This window comes from Homo sapiens, chromosome 2 (genome assembly GCF_000001405.40).
Source record: "Homo sapiens chromosome 2, GRCh38.p14 Primary Assembly".
NCBI classification, from domain to species: Eukaryota; Metazoa; Chordata; class Mammalia; order Primates; family Hominidae; genus Homo; species Homo sapiens.
The window spans coordinates 36,690,147-36,704,409 of NC_000002.12; the positions used below are offsets into that span (position 1 = coordinate 36,690,147).

General features: G+C 39.5%; 1 protein-coding gene and 1 long non-coding RNA gene across 13 annotated transcripts in view; one reads left to right on the forward strand and one right to left on the reverse strand.

Annotated features, from left to right (window-relative positions):
- LOC124905990 (uncharacterized) overlaps window positions 1-14,263 on the reverse strand; it is a 118,030-nt gene that overhangs the window by 738 nt on the left and 103,029 nt on the right. The window lies entirely within an intron of this gene.
- Window positions 6,561-14,263, forward strand: part of VIT (vitrin) — a 118,088-nt gene continuing 110,385 nt past the window's right edge. For all 12 annotated transcript variants that reach the window (NM_053276.4, NM_001177969.2, NM_001177970.2 and 9 more), the window contains exon 1: window positions 6,561-6,827. The gene's annotated coding sequence lies outside the window, so the exon portion shown is untranslated. The remainder of the gene's footprint in view (window positions 6,828-14,263) is intronic.

Here is a 14,263-nt window from a genome sequence, read left to right on the forward strand (position 1 = left end):
TGAGCATTTCCTGCTTTTTGGCTCCAAAATGTTCCAGGCACACTTGTAATTTCCCATCCCCAGTTCTAGAATCAGCTATTTTTCAAGGAGCTCTGATTCTATGTATCAAAGAATATTAGAAACCAAGCTCTTAATACTGTGTGTGCTCATTGGTAGTAATGTTTCATTGATTCTAGGCCTTTTCAATAAGCAGAACTAAGAGACACACACACACACACACACACACACACACACCTATTTACATATCTGTAAATAGAGATAACGTTATTCCTTCTTTACTAATTATTTTTCCTTTAATGGATTTTTCTTGTCAAGTTGCACTGGCTAATATTTTTAACACAATGTTGAATAGTAGCAGATAGAGTGGTTATCCTTGCTGAATTCCTGATGTTAGTGGAAATGCCTCTAGAGATGTTGAATAGTAGTAGATAGAGTGGTTATCCTTGTTGAATTCCTGATGTTAGTGGAAATGCCTCTAGGGTTTTCCCATTAAGTAAGATGATGGATTTTATGACTAAGGCATATATACTTTATTATGTTAAAGTACCCATCATTTCTTATTTTCTTGAATGTTTTTAATAAAGAGGCAATCTAAATTTATAAGGAAGGCATGGGAGAAAAGACACAATGGCAAAAATGCACACTGATAAAATATGCCAATATATTAATTGTGAAAACCCTTTTGAAAAATAATATTAGCAATAACAATCTAATTTTGTGTTTTAAAAAGGTAACACTAAAATTATTAACAAAAGTACAAGTTGCAGAGAACCTAGTTAAAGTGGCCTAAGATTCTTTTCAAGTTTAAGAGAGGAGTAAAAATAATAAATAACTTTAAACTTCAAAAAATTACAGTTGCATATATAGATTAAAATTTAAAAGGTAGACACTAAAAGTTTAGAAATACAATCTGTAGATTACAAAAACAGCATTGCAGGTAGGGAGAGGAGGAAACATAGAAAACTTCACTAATCTAGCAGAAACAGAAGAAGAAAATAAAGATAGAGTAAATAAAAAATACAAATAAGGTACATAAATGCAACCAACTGTATCAGTAATCATAATAAAAATAAATAGACTAAATTTACCCAATAAAATGCAGAGATTGACAAACAATTTTTTTTATAAATCCTGTTGAATGTTATTTACAAGATATACAACTAAAATGTAAGGATACAGAAAGGTTGAAAGGGGAGAGATGGTGGGGTAAGTTGAACTATTCATCCTAATTCTTCATTCCCTCTTCGTTCACACTCTTACCATAGCTTCTTTATGGGCAGCCTAGTTCCCCACCCCTTGACTTTGGGCTTGGTCATGGAACTTACTTTGGCCAGTGGAATGGACCAGAAATAATACTATGCCAATTCTAAGACTAGGCCTTATGAAACCTCACATATTTTCCATTGCCCCCTTGCGACTTTGCCATTGCCATGAGTTCTCCTGTATAGCTGCTGTCCCAGCAGCATGGACAACAAAATAAACACATGTAGAGCAGAGGTTCCCTAGCCAACCCATAGACATATAATGGGAAGCAGAGTCGCACAGCACAGAACAGCTTAGATCAGCAGAGCCCCAGCTGACCAGTGTTCTGTGAACCAATCTTTTATTTTAGCCTTCATGTGCTTATTTGGCATAATAGGGAGATATAAGGCCTATAATCTCCTGCCCACCATTTTGAGCCCTCGTTTTTGTATAAGGCACTTTTGTATTTTTCTAATCTGCCAGACCAGCAACGCTCTGTAGTGTAGGATCTACAGGATAGCTTCCAGCTCCCAGTATCATCCTTTAGATCTTTTAATCTCTTTTATATTCTTACAATCACAGTGACTTACCCACATTCATTTTTTGTTAGTTTGGCCTAGAATATTGTAGGTATTGTCTAATACTTGATACAGTGGTTCCAGCTCATTTCTTTCAAGGAAGCATTTGGGAGTAGTGATCTTTCTGACTTCCTTTTGTAAAAAAATAGCCTAAAGAAAATGAATTCTACAGGTTCATCATTTGCTCTTCTCAGAGCCTACCTTTTACCTAGTAATCAAGGACTCCTATCTAATAATCATGTTTTTCTCCCTGACATATTCTTAAGAAACTCTTCATTCTCGTTTTGGAGGCTTTTTTTACATTGCTCAGCAAAATCTCTTTTGATGGTGATAGTGTACATTTAACAAAAACAAATTACACTGGCAAATTTCCCATTCACATTGAAACTACACCAAACATGTATACTTAGCAGTCATATTCAGCAGTGTCCAGGAAACTGAAATAACAACTGATGGATGCTTGCAGTAAACATCTGCCAAAGTGCAGGGAGAAAACAGTCTCAAAACTGTTGTAGAAGCGTTCAAGGCAAATCACATTTCTATGAAATATTGATGCAGCATCAAAGATGATGTTGCCTTAGACATTTAAGTGAGCTTGTGTTATGAAAGGTGTAACTCTTGTGTTTTATACCTGCACACAGTAAAAGTATCAGGAGTGTCTGAAAAGACTATCTCATTACTTAGACTCTTAAATTGCCACACTGAATTTTTAAAAGTCACATAAAAGAATGGATTTGTGATATGAAGAATGCATTGATTTCTCCACATTCTGTCTCCAGAATGAAGAAAAAAATGAGGCAGTATACTAAAGAGTCATCAAATTCAATGTCTATGACAATAATAAAAACTTTTAATAGAGAATGTTCTAAAAGAGATTCGAGTTTTTGTGCTGGATACAATACAAGACTGGGATACTAAGTTTACGTGGTGATAAACAGTTATTTAAGAAAGAACTGATGCATTCAAGCAACCATAGGTGATTTATAAGTAAAACAGAATTTTAAGTAGTAATAGCAGGAAAAAGTGAACATCACAATTCTTGTTCTCAACTTGAAATAACATAGTTCAGTTTATGCCAAGTAGCAAGCTCAAGGCCACTCACCAGGAAGTTGTGATCTTGTTTTACTTTAAAAAGAGAAAAGATTTCCCCAAGGCCACCACCTCGATTGATTTTGTTGTAAGTGTTTTTGTTGCTGCCAGACGTCTGGGATGGAGGGTTGATTCCACTCCTGGCACCATCACTAGTGGTCCATGCAAGGCCCCAGGACTTTTGCCTTAATGTTTTTTATTCCATTTTATCCCAATTCTCCATTCCTATCCTATTTTCCCATAGGCAGCCATTCTAATGTATTTTCAATCATTTTTTAGTTAATACTTATTGTATGCCCTATTATATGTTGGCTTCAACGGCTAGGAATGCATCACTGATCAAAGCAGATAAAAACTCCTGCCTTCCTGGATCCTATTTTCTAGAGGGGGACGCTCGATTTAAAAATCAAGTAGTAGGGCCGGGCGCAGTGGCTCACACCTGTAATCCCAACACTTTGGGAGTCCGAGGTGGGCGGATCACGAGCTCAGGAGCTCGAGACCATCCTGGCTAACACGGTGAAACCCCATCTCTACTAAAAACACAAAAAATTAGCCGGGCGCGGTAGCGGGCGCCTGTAGTCCCAGCTACGCGGGAGGGTGAGGCAGGAGAATGGCGTGAACCCGGGAGGCGGAGCTTGCAGTGAGCCGAGATCGCACCACTGCACTCCTGCCTGGGCGACAGAGTGAGACTCCAACTCAAAAAAAAAAAAAATCAAGTAGTAAATATTATTAAAGGACAATAAGTACTAGAGAGAAGAATAAAACAGGGAAGAGGAAAAGGAAAGGCTTGGAATGTTGGTGCCATTTTAAACAGGACAGCCAGGAAAGGGCTCACTCAAGAGGTAACATTTGAGCCTAGATTTTAAGAAGGTGAGCATGGGAGCCACGCAGATATCCGAGAGAATACTTCGGGGACAGCACGTACGAGGGCTCCAGGCCTTTGCTTCCAGCTTCTGAACAGTACCTCGTGGTGTGCTTCTCCCATACTTAACTCATGAATTCTCTGGTCATGGACTTCTAGTGGCCCTGTGTGAGAAGCTCACTGACGAATATACCCCCAGAAAGAGGTGGATGGATCCTGGGGTACACAGGTAATTCAACCAAGTACTTCTGGATTTTCCTCTAGAATAGCCACATTTGTCTTCACCAGTAGCAGCTCATCATGGTTATGACATGTCTGCCATGATCTTTCTTCAGATTTCTAATTTTTGCCAAGATGATGAAAACAAAATGATATGTCATTGTTTTTTAAAAGAGAATGGCTCCTTTTTTACCATTTTTAACTGTGGTAAAAAAAATGTAATAAAATTTGCCATTTTTTCCATTTTTAAGTGTACAATACAGTAGCAGTAATTACATTCATAATATTGTGCAACCATCACTACTATTTCCAAAATTCTTCATCACTGCAAGTGAGCATCTCTTCATATGCTTTTCAATACATTTATATTTGATTTTGCCTTATTTACCATAAGAAAACAAGTTAAACTATTATAGTAAAAGAAAAGAAGCTCTAAGTCTTAATAGAGCACCATTGCTTTGGAGTCAAGAAGCCTTGGATTTGAATCCAATATCTTGCCTTATTGGCTGCATGACCCTGGGAAAGTTGCTTAATCTCTTTAGGCCTCAGTTCTCTTATCTATAGAATGGAGATTATACTACTAATCCTTCTACATTCTTCTAAATATTAAATGTAATGATATATGTACAGGGTTGCTGTCCTTAGTAAAAGTAAGTATTTGATAAACAGCAACTAGCATTATTATTATTATTATTATTATTTTTTGAGACCAAGTCTTGCTCTGTCAACCAGGCTGGAGTGCAGTGGTGCGATCTCGGCTCACTGCAACCTCCACCTCCCAGGTTCAAGTGATTCTCCTGCCTCAGCCTCCCGAGTAGCTGGGATTACAGGCACCCGCCATCACACGCCTGGCTAATTTTTGTATTTTTGGTAGAGATGGGGTTTCACCATGTTGGCCAGGCTGGTCTTGAACTCCTGACCTTAGGTGATCTGCCTGCCTCGGCCTCCCAAAGTGCTGGGATTACAGGCTTGAGCCACCGAGTCCAGCAGCATTAGTAGTAGTAGTATTAGGAATAATGTGATTATGAATTATGCTTAGGCTGCCATTCTGAACCTGCCCTAATTCAAGTGGTAGGACAGGGGATCCTCAGTGTTACAGCATTATCATCCTTACCACCAAAGAACCTGGGCTCAGAATTTAGTGGAGGAATAAAGAGGATTGAGAAATAATTTCATTGCAGAACCAAAAGAAGTAAGGGTAAAAATGATTAAATAACATTCAAATCATTATCTCCCTTTTTTTAGTCTTCATGTTCCTTTAATGGAGGAAGATTCCTGATCAGTGTACAGTGATGTATTTATTTAACAGTGACCTGTGCAGAAATTACATACTATCCATCTAGATAGCTTGCTACACTTCGCCTATTGATGGAATCATTCCATTTATCAAGTTTTATACATCAAAAAGCTTTGAATTTCATCAGGCTCTTCATTAATTCACCTCTGAAAAAGTGGCATTTAATTTCAGCTACCATGTTTTATAGCATTAAAAAGCTTATGCATCTCTGCACAATGGCATTGAGCAGATGAATCCCACCCAGATTCACATAGTCACATTTGAGAGCTTTAGACCAGAGAGCTGGGCCAAAGTTACTCCTAATCAACACAGACTTCTTACCGTGAGAGCCTATCTTCTCGGCCACATTTTATATAGCCAATGAAGACGTGCCAGCAATCATCCCATGTATAACTTGGCATTAGAGCACAAGATCTGTCAAACAATTATCTTAAATAAGGAGCAGTTCCAGGGCCAACAGATGAGGACAGGAGGCTTCTCGAATGGAAGAAGGTTCTCCTCCCTAGCTGCGTGAGTGCACACTCCCCAGCAGGAGGAGGAATGACTCTTTGCTACCTTCTCCTGTGCTTGAAAACAGATGCTCTGCCACACTGATGGACACTGGAATCTCAAGATCTGCCAGATGTACTTTTTTTTGGTCTGATTTTTTTTTAATGATGTGATACGTTAATACACATTTTGAATCTGAATCTCTTAGATTTCATTGATGACACTAATATATAAATAACTAAAACTGGCAGATTTCATGTGAGATTATTCATCAGTATTTTTTTTGAAACATGAGTCAGGTTTTGCTTCCCACTATGATTATCTTGTGTCCTGTAACTACCAGCATATAATTGAGTCATTTCATAAAACTTGCCAAAACGCAGAAAGGACTGAAGCAAAACAAAACAAAAAAATAGCATTAATATGTAGGAAAAAGTACATATTTTCAATTCAAAAGTGGGAGTCCAGTAGAATAAGTTTGAGAGTGTTTGCACAGTTTTCCTTCTTTGTGCAGTTCAGTCCAGCTGTTCACTAGCTTTTGAAAAAGAAAGAAAAAATTGAATTGCCCCTGCTGAAGTAATTTTTAAAACATATCTTTTACTTTCCATTTTTATCTAAGTGGTCCTCCTCTACTTTTTAGAATGTCAAATTGTAGAATTTGCTTACTGAAAGTTTGTGCTTTGGGCTACAAAAGAATATTTAGAAATCCTTACAAAAAAAAAAAAAAAAAAAAGCAGTGGGAGTGGAAATTTGAAAGAGGACCGCCTAATTCAGCACTAAAACCAGTGTGAGAAGCAGTATGTGTGAGCATGTGTGTGTGTGTATGTGTGTGGGGGGGGGTGTAAAATGTGTTTTTCAAAGTACTGAGAGGTTGATGGGACTGTTCGATTAGCTCCTCTGAGAAGAAGAGAAAAGGTTCTTGGACCTCTCCCTGTTTCTTCCTTAGAATAATTTGGATGGGATTTGTGATGCAGGAAAGCCTAAGGGAAAAAGAATATTCATTCTGTGTGGTGAAAATTTTTTGAAAAAAAAATTGCCTTCTTCAAACAAGGTATGTCTGATGAATTTCTAAGCTGTGTATATAGTTACTTTCCATTCATTATCATTGAAACGTATTTGTCTTTAAGAAACTACAATACAAAGCTTGACCGAGTAAGCAAATTTCAGTTTCAAGAGAGTTGAGATGAAAGTGGATGGTACTTGGCATCCTTGTAAACAACTAGTAATATACATATATATTTATCAATTATAAATAAACTGCATTGATATTAATATTATAACAAGATTTTTACTGTTCCTTTAAACCAATTTAATTATGGTTACAAATAAGTTGAAAAGTATGACATTTGTGTAGAATTTTAAAGTAATTTAAGTCTCTATTATCTTGCTTTTTTAAAAACTTTGCTTGGAATATGTGGAATGTAATAGCAATATAGCAAATTGCTTATAAAGATTGTGAATGGCAGTATGAGAAATGGGCACATTGGTGCTAACTTAAAAGAGAAACTATTTCGTGTGGATCTCTACTTCTCTCTATTCAGACAGATTTCAGTGGAATGTGGCTAGATGTGCGATTCTGTGTCTTGTTTACACTTAAAGTGTTTTCTTAGGCTGAATGCTTCTGTTACTGATAAGCCCAACAAGGGGCTGGCATTGTTAAGTCTGCCATCGTAGCTCAGCTTTTCACAGGAAGACAGGATATGAAATCTCTTTTAAGTATGATTTGTGTCCAACTAGTATAAACATGAAATAAACGCCTCAAGCACAGGTTAAAGAGAGAGGATAAGACTGAATAATTAGACATGACAGTTTTCTCCAAACAACCCACAGCATCTTTGCCATTCCTAAATCAAGAGTGGAATTAAAAATTTTCTTTGGACTTATTGTAAAAATAAAAACAAGCATTCTTGGCCGTGGTGGTTGCTCAAAATTGCGTGTGCTAAGAAAATAGTATTTTGCCGTTACGTTGTGTTGCAATAAATTTGGAAGTTTTGGTGGTAAAGTTCTGAGGTTGTTTTTCCCTTGGTCTCTTGAAAGATGAAAACACCCTGCAGCAAAGCAGGATCAAACACTGTTTGTTTGTGTATTTTCTCTCTATGTGTGTTAGCTGCAAGTGGTAGCTAGTGCTGGTAGGAGAGCTGGAAGTGCCCATCTTTTATTTATTGAATTAAAATACCCTCTTTTGTACAAAAAGCTTTAGACAAAGAATTACAAGATTGCAAAGACTTGCATTTTTTTATTGCAATATGCTGGTTTCCCAGACTAAGCTTCATTTAAATATATCTTATGCCTCACCACTAAAAAAAATAAAAATACCTTAGGAAGATTGGAAATGCTTAATATCTATCCTAAAACTGTTTAATTCATGAATATTGTTAAGAAGATCTGTCTTTTCCACCAAGTTACTGATCACATGAAGAATAGTTTCTTTCAGAGAAAATACATGAGGTTTGAGAATGGTTCTCAGCTATGATTCCTATAAGACACATTGAATACAGGAAAGCAGTATGGTTCAATGCATGCGCCAAGCCAGGAGTCCTAAATTATAGTAACAGCTCTGCCACTACCTATTACCTTGGAAAACATATATAACATTTCTTGACTTTTGTTTCTCTCTTTGGAAAACAGAAATAGCAATGCCTGTACACCCTCCCTCCCAGGGCGGCCACAAGGGTCAATAGTGGTTCTCAGCTCCAAAGGAGTTTTGAAATGTCAAAACTTCTATAGCAATGTAATCTTGGCCTGGCGCAGTGGCTCACACCTGTAATCCCAGCACTTTGGGAGGCCGAGGTGGGTGGATCACCTGAGGTCAGGAGTTCGAGACCAGCCTGGCCAACATGGTGAAACCCCATCTCTACCAAAAATACAAAAATTAGCCAGGCATGATGGCGGGTGCCTGTAATCCCAGCTACTCGGGAGGCTGAGGCAGGAGAATCACTTGAACCTGGGAGGCAGAGGTTGCAGTGAGCTGAGATCACGCCACTACACTCCAGCCTGGGCAACAAAGTGAGACCTGGTCTCAAAAAAAAGAAAAGAAAAGAAAAGAAAAGAAATGTAATCTTTTATTCCCCACATATTAAAAAAAAAAAGATTACTTTAGAAAGCATTTATATAATAAAAACTTCATGGCCCCCAACATGTTCCCATGATGCTGTGTCCACATGTGCAACTTCCCCTCTCCTTGCTAACACTTGGAGGTGTGAGCCAAGCATCAGCAGCAGTGGGGACAAGACAGAACACAATGGGCCTGTCTGTCAGTAGAAGGGCATTTAGCCATGGTGCACTGGAGAGGTTACTCAATGTCTCCATCTCTATTTCATCACATACGAAATGAAGAAGTTACACAAGATAGTCTCTAAGCTTCCCTCTCAATCCTATGGTTCTATGCACTGGGACCTCTCCAGTGTCAAAATGTGGCCAGGAAAATTTCACTGTTGAGACTCTCTGTACATTGCTAAATGAAGAAGTATCGAAATAGTGCTATGAAAATTATGGTATATTTTAAATATGCATGTTTACCTAACCAGAGACTTACATGTATACAAAAATGAAATTTGACATAATTATATTCTTCACAAGACAATTAGAGGGGGTTATATATATATATACACACACATATATATAGATGTCTCCATATTCTTCAGAAGATGATTAGAGGAGATTATAGATATAGATATAGATATAGATATAGATAGATATATAGGTAGATAGATAGATAGATAGATAGATAGATAGATAGATAGATATGCACACACATATACATAGTGTACTGGAGACTGTGGGTCCAAGTTGTATGAAAGACTTTTTTCAGCTTTCTGCTGTATTTCTGTGACTGTCAATATAACCCCATTCGGAAAGAATGTCAAATGCCTTAATTTAAAGCCTTACATGCGAGGTCAAGGCAAAAATGGACCTTCCTGTGCTATGGGTCATGTGGGTGTTAGGCGGAAAGCTGTTACTTTTTCAATGTGTTAACTTTGGCAAGTTACTTAAAGTCTCTTGGCCTCAGTTTTCTCATCTATAAAATGGGTCTATTACTACTGCCTACCCCACAGAGCTGTGGCAAAGAGGTTTGATCAGTGCCAAATGTTAGTTAATTTTTTTTAATTATATGTGACTATAATAAAGAAATCAGATAAGCTGTGAAACATACCATTTGTAATAATCTTCAAACTTTTACACATTAACTCATCGGATACATTTAGCAAATAGATTCATGGAATTATGTGATATTAATATAATCATTAGAAACTAGTTGCCATCTCTTTATCCAGGGAATCTGAGCTAGTCAATCAACAAATAATAAATAAGAGAGGCAACTTCTGTGATGGTCGTAATCTGAGAAACCTCAAAAGGTCTCCCTCTCACTGTCTTAAAATGTATCTCCCTGTGGTTTGCAGAAGACAGTGAAAATCCTGGCCCTCAAACACACATAGCATTTTGCAAGATGTTGGTGGTGATGATGATGATGGTGGCGGTGGTGGTGGCGATGTTATAATGATTAACCATCACCCCAACAACAACAACAATAATAATAGGACAGGTGTGGTGGCTCATACCTGTGAATCCAACACTTTGGGTGGCTGAGGCAGGAGAATTGCCTGAGGCCAGGAGTTTGAGACCAGCCCAGGCAACATAGTGAGACCTTGTCCCTACTAAAAATTAAAAAATTAGCCAGGCATGGCTGTGCTCGCCTGTAGTACCAGCTACTAAAGAGGCTGAGGCAGGAAGATAACTTGAGCCCAGGCATTCGAGGTTGCAATGAGCTATGATCATGCACTCCAGCCTGGGTGACACAGCAAGACCCTATCTCAATTAAATAATAATAATAATAATAATAACTGCTAACACTTCCAGAGCTATTCTTATGTGCCACCCACTGTTCAAGCCCTTTTCATATATCAATTCATTTAACCCTAACAGCAAACATATGAGGTGGGCTTTTACCATCACCATTATACAGATGAAAAAAACGAAGGCACTGATAAGTTGTGTAAGTTGTCCGAAGCCACACAGCTAGTAAGGGATGGAGCTCAGCTTCAAATCCAAGAGGTCTACTTCCAAAGTCATACTCTTAACCTGCCAGGCAACAATTACACATGGTCCTGGTTTTTCTGTGACAGCACCAAATTAGTCTTTGCCATCCCTGAAAACATAATTATCAAGCCAAGTGAAATTTCTTTAAAAAAAAAAATGTACCTCCTTGCAGGTAGAGACACCGTAGTAATAACAGTGGAGAGGCGTGGAGGCAAGGAACTCACAGGGGAAGTTTTGTCAGGAGAAGAGGGCTTTTATTTCTGTCATTCTTGGATAATCTCCTTTTTGGGTGGATGGGGAAAAGCTGACTAGGGGGAGTTAGGTGGTGCGAGTGGAGGGAACACTGAGGAGCCTCCATCATGAAACCCTCTGTGTAGCCAGTCTCCAAAACCTTTCCTTTATCTTCACTGGAAGGTTAACTCAGCAGCTTGTCGCAGAAAGAATCATGCTTCCTTATGACTCAAACTACTTCAGCAAATCACTTTCCCTGATAAGGGTCTCTACATTGACAAGACTCTAGTAAACATTTCTCAAATTCTTTCCTTCAGTTCGAGAAAGGCTAAACTTCTGTGTGGACGTGTGGTAAAATTCATAAAAACTGCCCTTCAGGCTATAGTGAGAAGGCATTCTGTTTCTACATTCTTTCTTCTCTTATTCAAAAAGAAAAAAATATACCTATGCCCTCGGGGGAACCTTACATCTAGTTTCCAAGGGATCAGGTCACTGGCACCTTAATGCTATGTGAATTCCCTTCACCAGGCTTCTTTTTGTTCCAGACAGAGAAAACATGCTTTGGACATAAAGGTGCAAGTTAACTTGCCCAGACTGGCCGTGTTTATACACCATAGTGAGTAAATCTGCACTCCAAAAGGCAAAAAGAATTCAGGGGAAGAGAGATAACATTCAACAACAGCAGGAGCAAATATTTTTTGGGCCACCTCCATGTGCTATTCCCAATCCCATGTTCTTGGGAAGAAGAGTGAACAAAAACATTTCCATTTTCTCAATCTGGGGGCACATAATAAACAAATACAGTAAGAGGCCTGGTGGTGATAATGGGCTGTGAAAAATGTAAGTAGCAAAGTAGGATGCAGAGAGCAGTCAGGGTGATGATTTGCATTGCATGATTTAGTGAATGTTAAACAGAGAGATGAAGGAAGCCAGGAGGCAACCTATGTGGGTCCCTCAGGGAAGAGCATTCCAGGCAGAGGGAAAAGCAAATGAAACAGCCCTGAGTGGAACCATGCTTGGGAGGCCAGTGTGTCTGCAGCAAGCTGAAGGAGCAGGAAAGGGAAGCCCAAGGGTGCGCTTTGGACAAGCAGACACAGAGCGTGCCATCCTCACATGCCTCAATTTCCCCCAGACACCGCCTACCGCTCACTCACACACTAGGGGGCAGTTCTTGCCTCTGCTCTGGATGAAATCTGTCAGGCCAAGCTCAGAGGATTTTTTTTTTTAAAAAAGACCCTGTTCATATTCCACTCCCAAACAATCTTAATTCAGTCATTAACATGTATGTAATACTACGTGATCCTTAAAAACGTAAAGATGATATTCAAGCTTAAAGTCTCATCCTCCACATCCAGGCTTGCTTTCTGCAGTGGAAAGGGGGCATGATTGAATTTTCTTTCTCTGCCTTGCGCCTTTACCTCTCTTCCCCTTGGCCACCAACGGTAGTCTCTTCGTGTCCAGAGTTGAAGTGGGTACAGGGAGGAAAGGTGAGAGGCAGGGACAGGCCTCACTAGTTGGTACTGTTGTGAGCCAGCATCCAGGTTCCCTGAGCTTCACAGGGGTTTACAGCTGCTTCTTGTTCCCATAGGGCATGTCTATGGGTGCTGTGAAGATACCCTCCCCTACTGCGTTGGGGATTCCTCACCTGTAGTTCCCTGGATGTTTTGAAATAAATCCGTTCTGTCTGGGGGTTTACAGTTCCTCCCTCAGCCCTTGGGCAACTGGTAAGCTCTGTCTGGCTGCTTTCTGCCTAGGCTCCTCAGCCCTCCATGCACCTGACTCAGACCAGAGCTAAAACAACCCCAGGCTGACTCTGTCACACAGAGAGTTCTGATTGCCACAAGCTCTTCCCCTCTCCTGTAGAGGACTTAATCATGGGACAGACACCAAGTCCACGGAGGCAGACATCAGCCCCAGAGACACAACTACTCAGCCACTTCAAATTGGGTTACTGGGCATCCAAGCTCTCTTTTCAAAGGAGCTGATTGAGAACCAAGATCTCTGGCTGATGACCTCTCCATGCAAGAGGTTGCAGAAGCTGAGAGAGGGAGTCAGAGATCAGAGAGCAAAAACTTCTTAAAGACAAGTTATAGGCATTTTCCCTCCTCTTTCCCCTACCTAGATGCAGAAGAGGAGCAGGTGGCTCCCCTACCCCCACCCCCCTACACCCAGCCCACTTCAGGCAATAGTGAGAGGAGCTTCAAAGAGACCACTTTGGAACATGGAAGTGGTTGGCACCTATTGTCTTGAGGCCTCAACCAAAACTAAGACCAAAGGATCATCTTATTTTAACATCCCATTACACAGTCAATTACAATACACTCAAATGTTTACTTAGATGGGTGTGTTATGCCTGGTTACACTTAAAAATATGCCTGGTGCATCATTTTACCCTAAATAACGTTTGCGTGTGAGACAGAGTTGTGAGTGAGTTCAGGCTCAAATATGACGCTTGAAAAATCACTTAACCTTGTAACTAAGACCACTTTATTATAGAAGGTATGTACTTTACAGTGTGTGTTTTAACAATTGTCAGCCAAGTATCTCAAAAAGCCTGGGATATTGGCATCAAGGTAAAAACAAAGATAAAATCATCTTGTACAGTGGGAAAATTAGATGTTAAATGGAGTTCAGTGTTTGAGGTTTGGGATAGAATTCTGGTTCTGCTATATATTTATTCTGTAAGCTTGGGCAGGTTTTTTTGTTTGTTTGTTTGGGGTTTTTTTTTGTTTGTTTTTTGTTTTTGTTTTTTTTTTTTGGAGACTCACTCTGTCGCCAGGCTGGAGTGCAGTGGCACGATCTCGGCTCACTACAACTTCTGCCTTCCGGTGTTTGACTGATTCTCCTGCCTCAGCCTCAGGAGTAGCTGGGATTACAGGTGCACGCCACCATGCCTGGCTAATTTTTGTATTTTTAGTAGAGCTGGGGTTTCACCATGTTGGCTAGGCTGGTCTCGAAGTCCTGACCTCAGGTGATCCACCCACCTCGGCCTCCCAAAGTGCTCGGATTACAGGCATGAGCCACCACTCCTGGCCAGATTGGGCAGTTTATTAAAGTTCTTTAAGTCTCAATTTCCTGCTCTGATGAATGGGTGCAATAGTCCTTACCCAATAGGATCACCATGACAATTAAGTAAAATCACCTGTGTACCATGTGCAGCATATAGGAAACATGTAGTAAATGATAGTTATTACTATGGGCATGAACTCTACACTTCTA